The sequence below is a fragment of the Homo sapiens genome, chromosome 2, assembly GCF_000001405.40.
Source record: "Homo sapiens chromosome 2, GRCh38.p14 Primary Assembly".
Classification (NCBI taxonomy): domain Eukaryota; kingdom Metazoa; phylum Chordata; class Mammalia; order Primates; family Hominidae; genus Homo; species Homo sapiens.
The window spans coordinates 216652219-216665098 of record NC_000002.12 but is presented as its reverse complement, the minus strand read 5'-3'; the positions used below and the strand labels follow the sequence as shown (position 1 = coordinate 216665098).

Genomic DNA, 12880 nt, shown 5'->3' with positions numbered 1-12880 from the left:
GCTCTGATGTGGAACTCTGCTAAGAAAGGCCACATTCTGTGCCTCCTTCCACAGTCCCTCAGCCTGCACACCTTGACACACTCATAGCCCTTTGTTTCAATTGATATTTGCTGGTCTGGACACCAAATCCCTTGGGCCCCTTAGAGAGCAGCATCTGAATTCTCAGTGGTGTCATCCTTATGAATAAGCCAGTTAACCACAGCCCTACTCCCTTTCTTTGGGGGCTGAGTGGAAATGTCTCACCCTGGGCAGGAGGGAGCCTCCTTTATTTCAGGGGCCAGACAACCCCAATCCCAACGTTTCCTGTTCCTTATCTCCCACTGCAGTGTTATCTGAATGTGCGAGGGAGGAAGCCGGACCCACGCTCCACATCTCCCCATCCCCAGCCCGTGACTCATCCTGCCCCTGTACAGCGCCAGGCAGGGGCCACATGGGGGCAGAAGCCTCACCTGGGAGTCCTGGGGCTGCACTGGAGGGTTTGATCTGGATTCAGGAGGTTCCCATTCCTTCTTATTGCCATTTCATGAATGGGAAACGGAAACGGCCTTTCCCATTTTCCTAGGAGCCAGGGGCAAAGCTGGATGATGGCGGGTAGGCCAACCTAGGCCAGGCTCTGCATCTCTCCCTGGAAGACCCCAAAGACTCAGGCAAAAGACACACACTTTACTTTTCCTTCCTTTAATCTTATGCAAAAGGGACACAGGGGTTCAAAAATAAAAATTTCTCTTCCCCCTCCCCAAACCTGTACCCCAGCTCCCCGACCACAACCCCCTTCCTCCCCCGGGGAAAGCAAGAAGGAGCAGGTGTGGCATCTGCAGCTGGGAAGAGAGAGGCCGGGGAGGTGCCGAGCTCGGTGCTGGTCTCTTTCCAAATATAAATACGTGTGTCAGAACTGGAAAATCCTCCAGCACCCACCACCCAAGCACTCTCCGTTTTCTGCCGGTGTTTGGAGAGGGGCGGGGGGCAGGGGCGCCAGGCACCGGCTGGCTGCGGTCTACTGCATCCGCTGGGTGTGCACCCCGCGAGCCTCCTGCTGCTCATTGTAGAAGAGATGACACTCGGGGTCCCCCCGGATGGTGGGGGCTCCCTGGATCAGCTTCCCGGTGTTGGGGTTCACACACCAGCACTCCCCACGCTGCCCGTTCAGAGACATCTTGCACTGGGGAGAGAGGAGAAGAGCATGGAGGAGCCCGCAGCCAGCAACTTTCCTTCTGTCCCTCAACCCGGCGTCCACTGAGCAGCCACCCCTTGCAGCTACCCATGCGCTGCCGGGTGGAGCTTCGCAACTTCAAATATGCGCCAGGAAACCTTGATAAAATGCAGATTCCCATGCAGTAGGTCCCTGGAGAGCTGGAAATTCTGCATCGCTAGCGAGCTCCAACGTGATGCTGATGCTGCCCGCCCAGGGACCCCTCTGATTAGCAAGGCCATTCAGGACACCCGAAGATGAAAAGACTCAGTCCCCAGCCTCAAAGAGGTCCCATCCAGTGGGGGGGACCCAGCATACTGAAGCTTAGTCATAGCGTCAGGTGTAAAACCTCATGTTGCAATCAAAATCAGTGTGTGCCAGGCACTGTGTGTGCAAGACACACTGCTAGTTCAGTTTCTAACAAATATAGTCATTTAATCCTCACAACCACTTTGTGAATTAGATGCCATTATTATCCCTGGTTTACAGATGATAAAACTGAAGCACAGATGGGCTAAGCAACTTGCCCAAGGTCACACAGCTGGTAAGAAGCACAGCTGAGATGGAAGCCAGGCATTCCCACTCCAAGGTCTCTGTTTTATGCATAAGCTAACTACTCCTGCAAATCACTTTAGTTACCCAAAGGTGCAGCAGACAGCCTGTTTCCCATGAGAAGTGATCGAGACTTTTTCTTCTGAGCTCCAAATGGAGTTAGCCAGCTTACATTTAGAGGGCATGTACACAAATAGCTTTTAATACTAAACTAATATTTAGAGGGTCAAGGTGCCTGGGTGAAGGGGGTGGAGAGGTGAGACCCCTAAGCCATCAGCAGAGCCCTGTTCCCATCTCCTGGCTTCACACATCCACACTTTAGGTCAGCCCAGACTGCCATTAGAACCACCAGGGTAGCTTTATAAAAATCCCAATGCCCAGCCAGGTGTGGTGGCTCATGCCTGTAATCCCAGCACTTTGGGAGGTCGAGGTGGGGGGATCATCTGAGGTTAGGAGTTCAAGACCAGCCTGGCCAACATGGTAAACCCCATCTCTACTAAAAATACAAAAATTAGCCAGGCATGGTGGCAGGCACCTGTAATCCCAGCTACTCAGGAGGCTGAGGCAGGAGAATTGCTTGAACACGGCAGGCGGAGGTTGCAGTGAGCTGAGATCACGCCACTGCACTCCAGCCTGGGAGACAAGAGCGAGACTCCGTCTCAAAAAAAAAAAAAAAAAAAGTATGTTACAGGGAAAATATTGCATATGCACAGTGACTGTTAAAATGCATATGAACAGAAGGTGGATAGAGGAGGGAGAAGGGCTCCTGAGTGGTTTACTTAAACTTCATTTTCTCCAATGTATTTACAATGGTGTTCTAGATGGCTTTTCAGAATCTTTCCAACGGCATTTCTCCATGCCTGACTCTTCATTCCCTGAGATACTTCGAAACCATGAAGACAACTCGGCCAGTGGTTGAAATCAATGATGGTGGGAGTGTGGCTCACAGATTATGAGCCTCACCTGAGGCTTGTTAGAGCTGTAAACCTGACCTACCACATGGCAATTTGGGGGCGGGCCCAGGAAGAGCTCCAGGTGATGTCAATGTCCGATCAAAGCAAAGATGCTTGGTTTAAGCCACTTCCCTTCTCCAAGAGCCTCCTCCCAACCTGGACTCCAAGTGAGGCCGGTGGGCAGCTGGGCAAGTGGAGCCAGCAACTGACCCGTCGGAGGCAGGGAGAAGAGCTGCACCCTCCCCGGCCTGGCAGCTGGCATCCCAATCCCCATGGTGACAGGAGTCTGAGTCTCTCACTCAGCTCAGACCTCAGAGGATCATAGGCGGGTGGGGCAGAAACAAGGCACATCTGGGGCCCAGGGCTGAGGAGGAGCTGCTCTGGCCCAGGCTGGCACCATGCTCACCTGTTTGAGGTTGTACAGGCCATGCTTGTCACAGTTGGGGATGTGCAGGGAGTAGAGGTGCTCCAGAGGGCCCCGCTCATCCGGAAGGCGCATGGTGGAGATCCGCTCCAGGACCTGGTCCAGTTCCTGTTGGCAGGGAGTCTGCACGCACAGACAGCAGGGGACGCCCGGAGTGAGGACAGCAGGCCCACGAAGCACGCGCCAGACGCAAGCTCAGCGAGAAGCTGCTGCACAGGGAGGGGACTTTCCCATGGTCACACAGCCAGCAGGGGGCACAGGGACTTCTGACAGCCTGCCCGGGGATCTCCCTGCCATGCTGGGTGCCCAACCCCAGCCCCTAAAGAAAATTGTATGGATGGGAATGTTCACTCCTCTCCTTGTTCTGTGACCGTGGCTTTCATGTGTCAGAATGGGCTCTGCCTCCAAATATCCATCTAAGTGGCCGTCTCGAGTCTCCATGCCCCCACCCCATGCCCAAGCTCCACTTCTTTCCATAAAACCAACCAGGGCCAGGACCCAAGATGGCAGAGCTGGGCAGGAAAGAGGGGAGGGGTAGCTCAGTGAGAGAAGCATATGGCAACAAGACTGAGTTTCAGGCCAGGCGCAGTGGCTGGCGCCTGTAATCCCAGCGCTTCGGGAGGCCGAGGTGGGAGGATTGCTTGAGTCCAGGAGTTTGAGACCAGCCTGGACAACATAGTGAGACCCACATTTCCACCAAAAAATACAAAACTGGCCAGGTGTGGTGGTGCATGCCTATAGTCCCAGCTGTTCAGGAGGCTGAGGAAGGAGGATCACTTGAGCCCAGGAGTTGGAGGCAGCAGTGAGGTGTGATGGCACCATTACACTCCAGCCTGGGCAACAGAGTGAGACCCCATCTCAGGGGGAGGAAAAAAAAAAGAGTAAGCAAGTTTCAGGGACTCTGTCTTCATCTCTGGGATTCATTTTCTGTGTCTATGTTCCAAAACCATACAGAAATGTGAAGGTTTTAGAAGGAAAGAACATCAAGAAACCACATGTCCAGTCTATTTCACAGCCAGAGATACTGACTGCCCCAAAGGTCACTAACTATGTTCCACAACTATGTTTGTGGAAAGAAAAGTGCTTTGCCTACAGGTCACACCAGATGAGGGTCTTATTAGGATGCCCTCCTCCAGCTGAGACCCCACTTTCCTTGTCCTCCCACCCCTTCCACCAGACCTGACCCTCACTGACCCTGGCAGGGGGTGGTCGCAGCTTCTTGGGCTCCTCCAGGCCAAGGTGATGCTTGCCACCCTTGCCCATCTGCCGGTGCTGCTCAGTGACCTTCTCCCGGAACACGGCCAGCTCCTTCATACCCGACTTGAGGGGCTTCCGGCCAGCACTGCCTCCCCCGCCCAACATGTTCATGGTGCTGTCCACGTGGTTCTCCACCAGGCCTCCTTCTGAGTGGTCATCGCCATTGTCTGCCAAGAGAGGAAGGGAAGAAAAGCTCCAGGTCCAGTTTCCCAGAGAGACGTGCCCTCCGGGAGCCACCTGGACCGTAATGATGATGAGGGTGGAGATGACGCGCGGCTAATGAGTGCTGATGGCCTGTCAGGGCCCGTGCTGAGCAATTTATATGGATGATCAATTTCAGCTTCACCCTAACTCTTAGGTGGGTACTACTAGCACCCTCCCCAACTTTCAGAGATGGAGAATTTGAGGCTCACAGAGGTCAGTTACTTGACCAAGATCACAAATCTGAAAAGCGATGGATTCAGGATTTGAAATCAGGCTGTCTGGCTCTAGAAGAATGACAGGGACCCTCTTACAAGGCTGGGGCAGAACAGAGGCACACAGAGGGATGAATGCATTTGAAAGGCCCTGACCATGGAATGGGTTTAAGTCCTTTCTGGGACCCCCCCAAATTCTCCCACTATAACCCCCAGTTTAAAGTTCTTCATTTGTGGTCTGGAAGAGCACCAATTAGTTGAGTTTTTTAAAACTCGTGCCACAGACATCACCGGGCTGCAGCATATATGGCAAAGGAGTGAGAAGGTGGAAGGCCACGTCGCCACCCAGAACCTGGTCCCAGCATCCCCCTGCTGTCACTGTGTACCTGCCCACCTGGCCCTGCCTAAGGTCCCATAGTGCTGCTCCGAGGCAGCTACAGCTCTGCCACACTGACATTCCCTCGTTCCCAAGTCTGTCTGTGCAGCCCACCCCAACCCCATTATACTGAGAGCCCCAAGAACAGGAACTATGACTCCTTCGACTTCATAGCTTCAGCTTACTGCAGGGCATGAAGCTTCGTGATGTCTGTCCAACAAGCGTCCATTAAGTCTCCTTATACTTTCTTCAACCTTTTGTATGCACAGCCTAGGTGAAGGAGGCCTTGAAAACAGCTCCAGCCTGCCACAGTCTCACTCTGGCTGAGGCACGTCCAGCCAAAGGAGGCAGAGAGGATCTGAATCGCACGGCAGAGCTGTAACCAGGAGACAAGCCCCAGCAAGCTCCAGAAGGGCAGGGCCTCACACCGCCGAGCCCCAGCCCCAACCCCTTGGAGACACGGCAAACAGCCCCAGACCCTCCCACCCAGAGCTGCTCTCCTGCAGGTCCCAACAAGATCTGGGTGGGTGCAGAGGGGTGTTTTTCAACCAATCTTGCACATTTTTTCTTCCCCATTAATGCACCTTCAAAAACTTACAGCCCTTAGAACACAAATGAATAATTCTTAGAGTAACTCTATACAAGAGTATTCACTCACTCACCAACTAAGGGAGGGGGCACCTCTTCCATGCCAGGGACAGCACCGGGTGCTGGCACTCCAGCAGCACCTGCTGTCAAGGCGTGCCCAGCATAGGCCCCAGCATACGGAACATTTGATGGGGGTCTGTCCCTGTCCTTTCCCCTCCCTCCAAGCCTGAGAACTAGTCACTCTTCACTTGCCATGCAGCAGCTTCCTTTAGAAGCCAGCACGCCGTCCCCAGGGTAGCAGCTCTGGTTAAAGGGGTGTAGCCGGGTTAAAGTCCAGCTCTGCCATTTTCTATATCAGCTGCACGTGTTCTCCCCACACAGACCCTCTCTGTGCCTCTACTTTCTTAACTGTAAGTTGCTGGATAATAACAGTTCTTTCTTCATAGAGCTGTTGAGAGTATGACGAAAGAAAAGCAGTTAAAAGATGACTTAGGCCGGGTGTGGTGGCTCATGCCTATAATCCCAGCACTTTGGGAGGCTGAGGCATGTGGATCACTTGAGGTCAGGAATTCAAGACCAGCCTGGCCAACATGGTGAAACCCCATCTCTGCTAAAAATACAAAAAAATTAGCCGGGTGTGGTGGCACACACCTGTAATCCCAGCTACTCAGAAGGGTGACACAGGACAATTGCTTGAACCCAGGAGGTGGAGGTTGCAGTGAGCTGAGATCGCACCATTGTACTCCAGCCTGGGCGACAGAGCAAGACACTGCCTCAAAAATAAATAAATAAATAAATAAATAAATAAATAAATAAAAGACGACCTGGAGCACAGAAATTCTATATCCATGTTGCTGCTGGTTATTACACTGATGATGATGACAATGACGAATGCCCCAGTTATCTACTACTTCAGCAGCATGGAACCCAACCGAGAACAGGGAAACCAAGGAAAATAAGCTCTGAACATCCTAATAGCTGTTACCACGGCTGAGCATGTTCAAATGTTGGCACTTTCCACTCAAGATGAGGGGAGAATCATCTCGTGAGGAGCCTCGAGACAGTTCACAACAGTGCTGCTCCAGGAAGCCTGGCTTCTGGATGTCTGGTTTCCAAGGCCACCGCAGAAGAAAGTCAACAAAATTGAAGGGACAAAGAAGGAATGCATGTGGACAGTAGCAAGAAGGATCAAATGGCAGAGAGGAAAGAGGACACTAAGAAAACAAAACATACAAACTCCGGGTACATTTTGTGTGTGGCAAACAATGAATGCCCCTCAATGAACCCTGGGGATTTCCATGTCTTACAGCCCAAAACAAGAATTACGTTGATGACGATGATCTTGGGACATCAAAAAGGGGAGGGAATTAAAATTCTACCTATTCATCATTTTAAAAGACTTTTATCCAAAATTGTTGAACTCCAGGAAAAAAAAAATTTAAATGTTAAATGTATAAACCTGAAACCTGGAAAAATATTTTATTTAGAATGGTTATTCCCACAGGGGCTCTGGGGAGCCTGGGTTGTACCATAAATGAAGCCAGCACAGATTAAATTGTTCCAGCAGCCCGGCAGCCCAGCACCACCGGCAGGAAAAGGCCGATTTAGCGTGCGCCTCCAGGCTAGGTTGGAGTCCTGCTCCACCATGTCTAATCAGACCCAGGCACCAGCCCACAGCTTTCCTCATCCATCCTGCCCTGCCCTCTGTGCTCCTCCACATGGAGAGCAGCAGACACCCAGGGACCCAGAGAGGCAGGCTGAGTGAGTGCCCCTGCTCAGCTGCCTGCCAGGTTCCCAAGAACAGGGACGCTGAGTCACCCCACCGTGCGGCAGATTTCTTCAGCGCCACCAGGTCCACACCCTCCTAGAAGAGCCCCCCTTCCCTCTTCAGATGGACCCCAGAGGTCAGAAACAAAAGGGTGAAAGAGAAAGGCCGGGGAAAGTCTGAGATCAGACAAACCTGGACAACAAACAGAAGAGATCAGGTTCAGTCAACTTTCCATCTCAACACTGACCTCTAACGCAGCACACAGATGCCGTGCAGCGCACGCACTCATCCCCAGCCTCCCTGCCTCCGCCCCGCTGCCCTTCCCAGACAGGCCTCTCTGTCCCCAGACCTGAGTGGGACCATCTCAAGCTCCCTGCCCCTGCCCTCTGCAGACACCAAAAACACAGGAGGAGAGCAAAGTAGCTAGAAAGTCTCCCCACTCCCACCACCTGCATTGGAACATAGAGAAGAGCCCTTTGACTCCCTCCCAGCTACTCAGGATCAAAATGAGAAAGACAAAATGAAGTGGGAACCTCCAGTTCGCCCTCACCCGAACCCTTGGTACCTGAGATCACCCTTGGCATCACCCTGCTTACCGCACCCTACCCAGCTTTGTGCCCACAGAGGCAGGAAGGGTTTCTGGAGACCTCGACACCGCATTCTGCTCACAGGGTGTTAGAGAAGACAGGAGCTCTGGGAGTCTGCTGGTACTGCACCCTGCCACCATTTCTGGAACTCTCCAATCTGTGGACATGAAGTCTGTGATGCTCAGAGGCTCACCTGGCTCTGCCCTCTTGGGAAGTGGCTTGGGTGAAGGCAGACAGTCTCTATTATGGCTATAACAACACGTTGTCTGGTTGGAGACGGGAAAGGCAGCTCATGTGTACCTCTATCCATGAGCTTCTGGGAAGGAGCCGCTCACCCGAACTCAATGCCTGGAACATCCAGTGTACTCCAGATGTTGGGCAGCATTCCTGGCCTCTACCCACCAGAAACCAGTAGCACCCTCCCCAGGTTGGAACAACAAAAAATGTGTCTTCATTCGTTGCCAAATGGCCCCGGAGAGGCAAAACTGCCCAGGGTGAGAATCACTCTTCTGGAGTCAGGCTTTTAGCCCAAGACCTGTAAGCTGATAGCCCATTGCTGAAATGGCTCCAGGCCCCATATAAAGCAAATCTAGCTCCACTATATTCCGCATCCACGGCTAAGACCCCTCCGCTACCCTTCCATCTGCAGCCACAATAGTCCACAGTTTCTTGGGGGCAGGGCACAGGATCTTCCCTGGGCTTCCTAGAGGACTTTCAGCCTGCAGCTCCCCATCTTCACGAAGCCCTCTTGTACCACAGACAGTGGCCAAAGAACCATCCCTTGGCTGCGTCCCAGAGGTCAATCCAACATTAATCCTCAGAAGAAGGCCCTCTGCAATCTCTGGAAACACATTTGAAAAAGGAGAGGGGCACACACAGATAAATGTGCATTCGGGCCTGAAGGCGCCAGGCAGGGCCAACTTGTCCATTGGGCTCTGGAGGCACAGTGCCTAGGACATATTTTTATTTCTATTAACATCAGAAAAAAAAAATAACTTTTAGGTTAAAAAGTCTTACTATATAATATTAATACATTTGCATTTATTAAACAAGTTATAAAATATGGTTTTTTGATTTTTTTTTTTTGTTTTTTTGAGACAGAGTATCGCTCTGTCACCCAGGCTGGAGTACAGTGGCACGATCTTGGCTCACTGCAACCTCCGCCTCCTGGGTTTGAGCAATTCTCCTGCCTCAGCTTCTCGAGTAGCTGGAACTACAGGCATGTGTCACCACGCCTGGTTAATATTTGTATTTTTAGTACAGACAGGATTTCACCATGTTGGCCAGGCTGGTCTTGAACTCCTTGCCACAGGAGGCCCACCTCGGTCTCCCAAAGTGCTGGGATTATAGGCATGAGCCACCACGCCTGACTGTATTAGTCCATTTTCACACTGCTATAAAAAACTGCCTGAGACTGGGTAATTTATAAAGGAAAGAGCTTTAATTGACTCACAGTTCAGCATGGCGGGGAGGCCTCAGGAAACTCACAATCGTGGTAGAAGCCAAAGGTCCGGGAAGCAAGGCACCTTCTTCACAAGGTGGCAGGAAGAAGTGCCAGGTGAAGCGGGGAAGAGCTCCTTATAAAACCATCAGATCTCAGGAGAACTCACTCGCTATCACGAGAACAACATGGGGGACCCACCCCCATGATTCAGTTACCTCCACCTGATCTCTCCATCAACACCTGGGGATTATGGGGATTACAATTCAAGATGACATTTGGGTGGCGACACAAAGCCTAACTATATCACCTTGTCTCTGCTAAAAATAAAAAAATAGCCAGGCATGGTGATGCACACCTGTGGTCCCAGCTACCTGGGAGGCTGAGGTGGGAAATTACTTGAGCCCAGGGGTTAGAGGCTGCAGTGAGCCATGATCATGCCACTGCACTCCAGCCTGGGTGACAGAGTGAGCCCCTGTCTCAAAAACGAAAAATAATAATTTTTAAATTTTAAAAATATATGTTTTTATAGAAGGGCCCACAGAGGCAGTGTCCAGGGCCCACAGATGTCATATGCAACCCTGGCTCCAGGTCCCAGGAGGCTGGGGTCAACTTGGCAGTGTTCCTCCAGGAGGACAAAGTTGATTTCCTGCCCTGAGATGTCCCAAACTCTCTGAGGTGAAGGTCAAGTTTGTCCACCCTCACAGAGGCCACCTGGATTCAAGGGTATGTTTCATTCCATTTCTTTATTGATCTCAGCAGTGCCAACGAACATGCCAATAAGATGAAGAAATCCACAGGCCTGGTTTGCTGATGCAAGGTCTTTTAAAGATGGTTTAACAAGACCATGCATCAGCATCTGTTTCTTTCTCAGGAAGAGGCTTCTGGACTCAAATCCCGTAGCCAGATCTGAACTCCACATCTTGAAGTAGAAGCCCAGGGAAGGGAAATGAAAGAGTTGACCAGGCAGAGATCAGAAAGCATTGTAGGCTGAGAAAAGCCTGCATTCCTTGTTACTGTTCCCAGCCAAAGAGATTCAAACCCCAAAATCTAACTGCCTGAGTTGGAATTCAAGCTTTTACTACTGAGCTGTGCAGCACCAGACAACTTTCTTAAGCTCTCTGTGCTTCCATTGTTCATCTGTAAAAGGACAAACAGTATGCACCTCCTATGGGCAACTGGGAGGATCCAAAGAGATGCTGCCTGCATCTACAGAGAGGGCCTGGCACACAGTAGGCACACATGGGGTTAGCTCTTAGCCACTTCCATTTCCTGCCTACCAGGAAGTACCCACATAGCGCCCCTCCTCCCCTCAGTCAGACAAGGGCATTATCACATGTTACCAAGTTCTTCCCATATATCCTCTTATAGGCTGCAAGAACAATCCACAGGAAAACATTCCAGATGTCGAACTCCAGCTAGAGATGGAATTTGCCCTCAGAACAAAAATACCAAGTTGTATTTTTTTTCTGCCTAAGAGAGTTAAGTTCAGAATAATATTTATTAAGCAACCACTTATGTATGCAACTCCATGGGCTATGGTGCAAAGGTCACTATAAGAAATGGTTCTTAGCAACCCCAAATGACATCAATGGAAAAGGCTCATGGGCTTAGAAATGGTTGATAGAAACCTCCAAGGCCCCTGAAGAGACTTTCCCTGTAGATTAGTAAGCATTAGCTCTTCTTCCCTACATAGCACCTAGGGAAATGGGTCAACACAGAAGCAAGGGATTTCACATATAGAAGGTCAAGCTTTTCCAAAGAGAAGTCAGGGAGATGACAGACAACCCCAGAGCCATTAGTCGGGGGCTTGAAGGGCAGGGGAGAACTCCCACCCCTGCCTTGGGTAGACTGCCACACCTTTCTACCTAAGACCCCTAGAGGAGAGCTGGAGATGAGGAAGGCAGATGGGATGAAAAGAAATGGATCGTTGTCCCATTTTACAGATGGCAAACCTGAGCCCAGATGGACTACCATTTGAATTCACAGGAGCAAACAACCTCTCTGCCATTCTTCACAATTATCATGGGGTCCCTACATTGTCTTTTGGCCCACCCTTACTAATTTAGCCAAGGAGAGCAGCTGGAAGCTGACAGCCCAAGAGAAAGAGCCTTTATTGTTCACTTCTATGCATTCATACCCAGGTTTTCAGACCTAATTTTGGCACAGCTCATTTTTCCAATGTAATCCTGTTTGTTGCATCAATGATCTTACTCAACAAATCAAACTCTTGTGTTTGATAGAAACGGACTCCCACAAAATCTCATTTTCTCCTAGCACAATGTTCTGACCTCAGTGCTCTATTTGGAAATTGGTGATTCCTGATCTAAGAGAGACCTTAAAAAGCTTTCTTAGGAAACTAAGCCCCAAGAATCTAAAAGCACCTCCCTGGTCCTTCCTCCTCAGAGTGTGTGGCCCCGGTCCTTATCCAGACCTGGTGAGGAAATAAGACCTTTTCCCTACCTAGAACAATCACATCTTCCTAACAGCTCATGTGTCTCTCTTCTTTCTTCTTTTCTTTATTCTGAAGAAAGACTTACCATTTTCCAGCCTTCTCCTCCTATCTCATGATTATCTTAAAATCTAAGAGCAGGGTTGGGAAAGAGGAGTACCACAGAGATGATCTAAGCCAACCCTGAACTTATCATTCCTCCAATGAACTCACCTCTTGCAACAGGTAATAGCATTCCAAGCCTTTCAAGAGTTAATTCTGAGTAATGGGCCAGGGGAATGAAGGCTGGCCGCAGCTTCCTGGTTCCACCCTAGCTGGGCAGAAAACTCACATGGCTCCGTCTTTGTTAATTTCTCCCAAAAGGCACTTAGCCTTGACATATGTTGGGCAACAGAATAAATACTAACCACCATCCTCCTCCCCCTGCTCTCTAGACGACTCCATTAATATCCATAGCAGTGGACGATTCATTAACAAACTGGAATGAGCAATGAACCCAGCAGTCAAGAACCCTGAATGCCAGCTTTGCCCTTTGAGATTCACTCACGAGTCAGAACCTTTAACCTCTCTGAGCTCTAATTTCTCAAGTCTGAAAAATGATATTAACAATTCTGCTAAGGGGCGGGGCGCGGTGGCTCACGCCTGTAATCCCAGCATTTTGGGAGGCCGAGGCGGGCAGATCACCTGAGGTCAGGAGTTCGAGACCAGTCTGACCAACATGGAGTAACACCGTCTCTACTAAAAATACATAAAAATTAGCCAGGCATGGTGGCGCATGCCTGTAATCTCAGCTACTCAGGAGGCTGAGGCAGGAGAATCACTTGAACCCGGGAAGCGGAGGTTGCAGTGAGCCAAGATCGCGCCATTGCGCTCCAGC

General features: G+C 50.7%; 1 protein-coding gene across 4 annotated transcripts in view; it reads right to left on the bottom strand.

Annotated features, from left to right (window-relative positions):
• Window positions 1-662: 662 nt before the first annotated feature.
• The window catches only part of IGFBP2 (insulin like growth factor binding protein 2), a 31609-nt gene continuing 19391 nt past the window's right edge, over window positions 663-12880 (bottom strand). For 3 of the 4 annotated variants that reach the window (NM_001313992.2, NM_001313993.2, NM_000597.3), the window contains exons 2-4: window positions 4313-4542; window positions 3101-3241; window positions 663-1159 (exon numbers count right to left, since the gene is read on the bottom strand). In NM_001313992.2, coding sequence (NP_001300921.1) covers window positions 995-1159; window positions 3101-3241; window positions 4313-4486 — 480 coding nt within the window. In that variant the 5' untranslated portion in view covers window positions 4487-4542 and the 3' untranslated portion in view covers window positions 663-994. Of the gene's footprint in view, window positions 1160-3100; window positions 3242-4312; window positions 4543-5352; window positions 5533-12880 lie in introns of those variants that run through there. The other variant, NM_001313990.2, reaches the window with a different exon arrangement.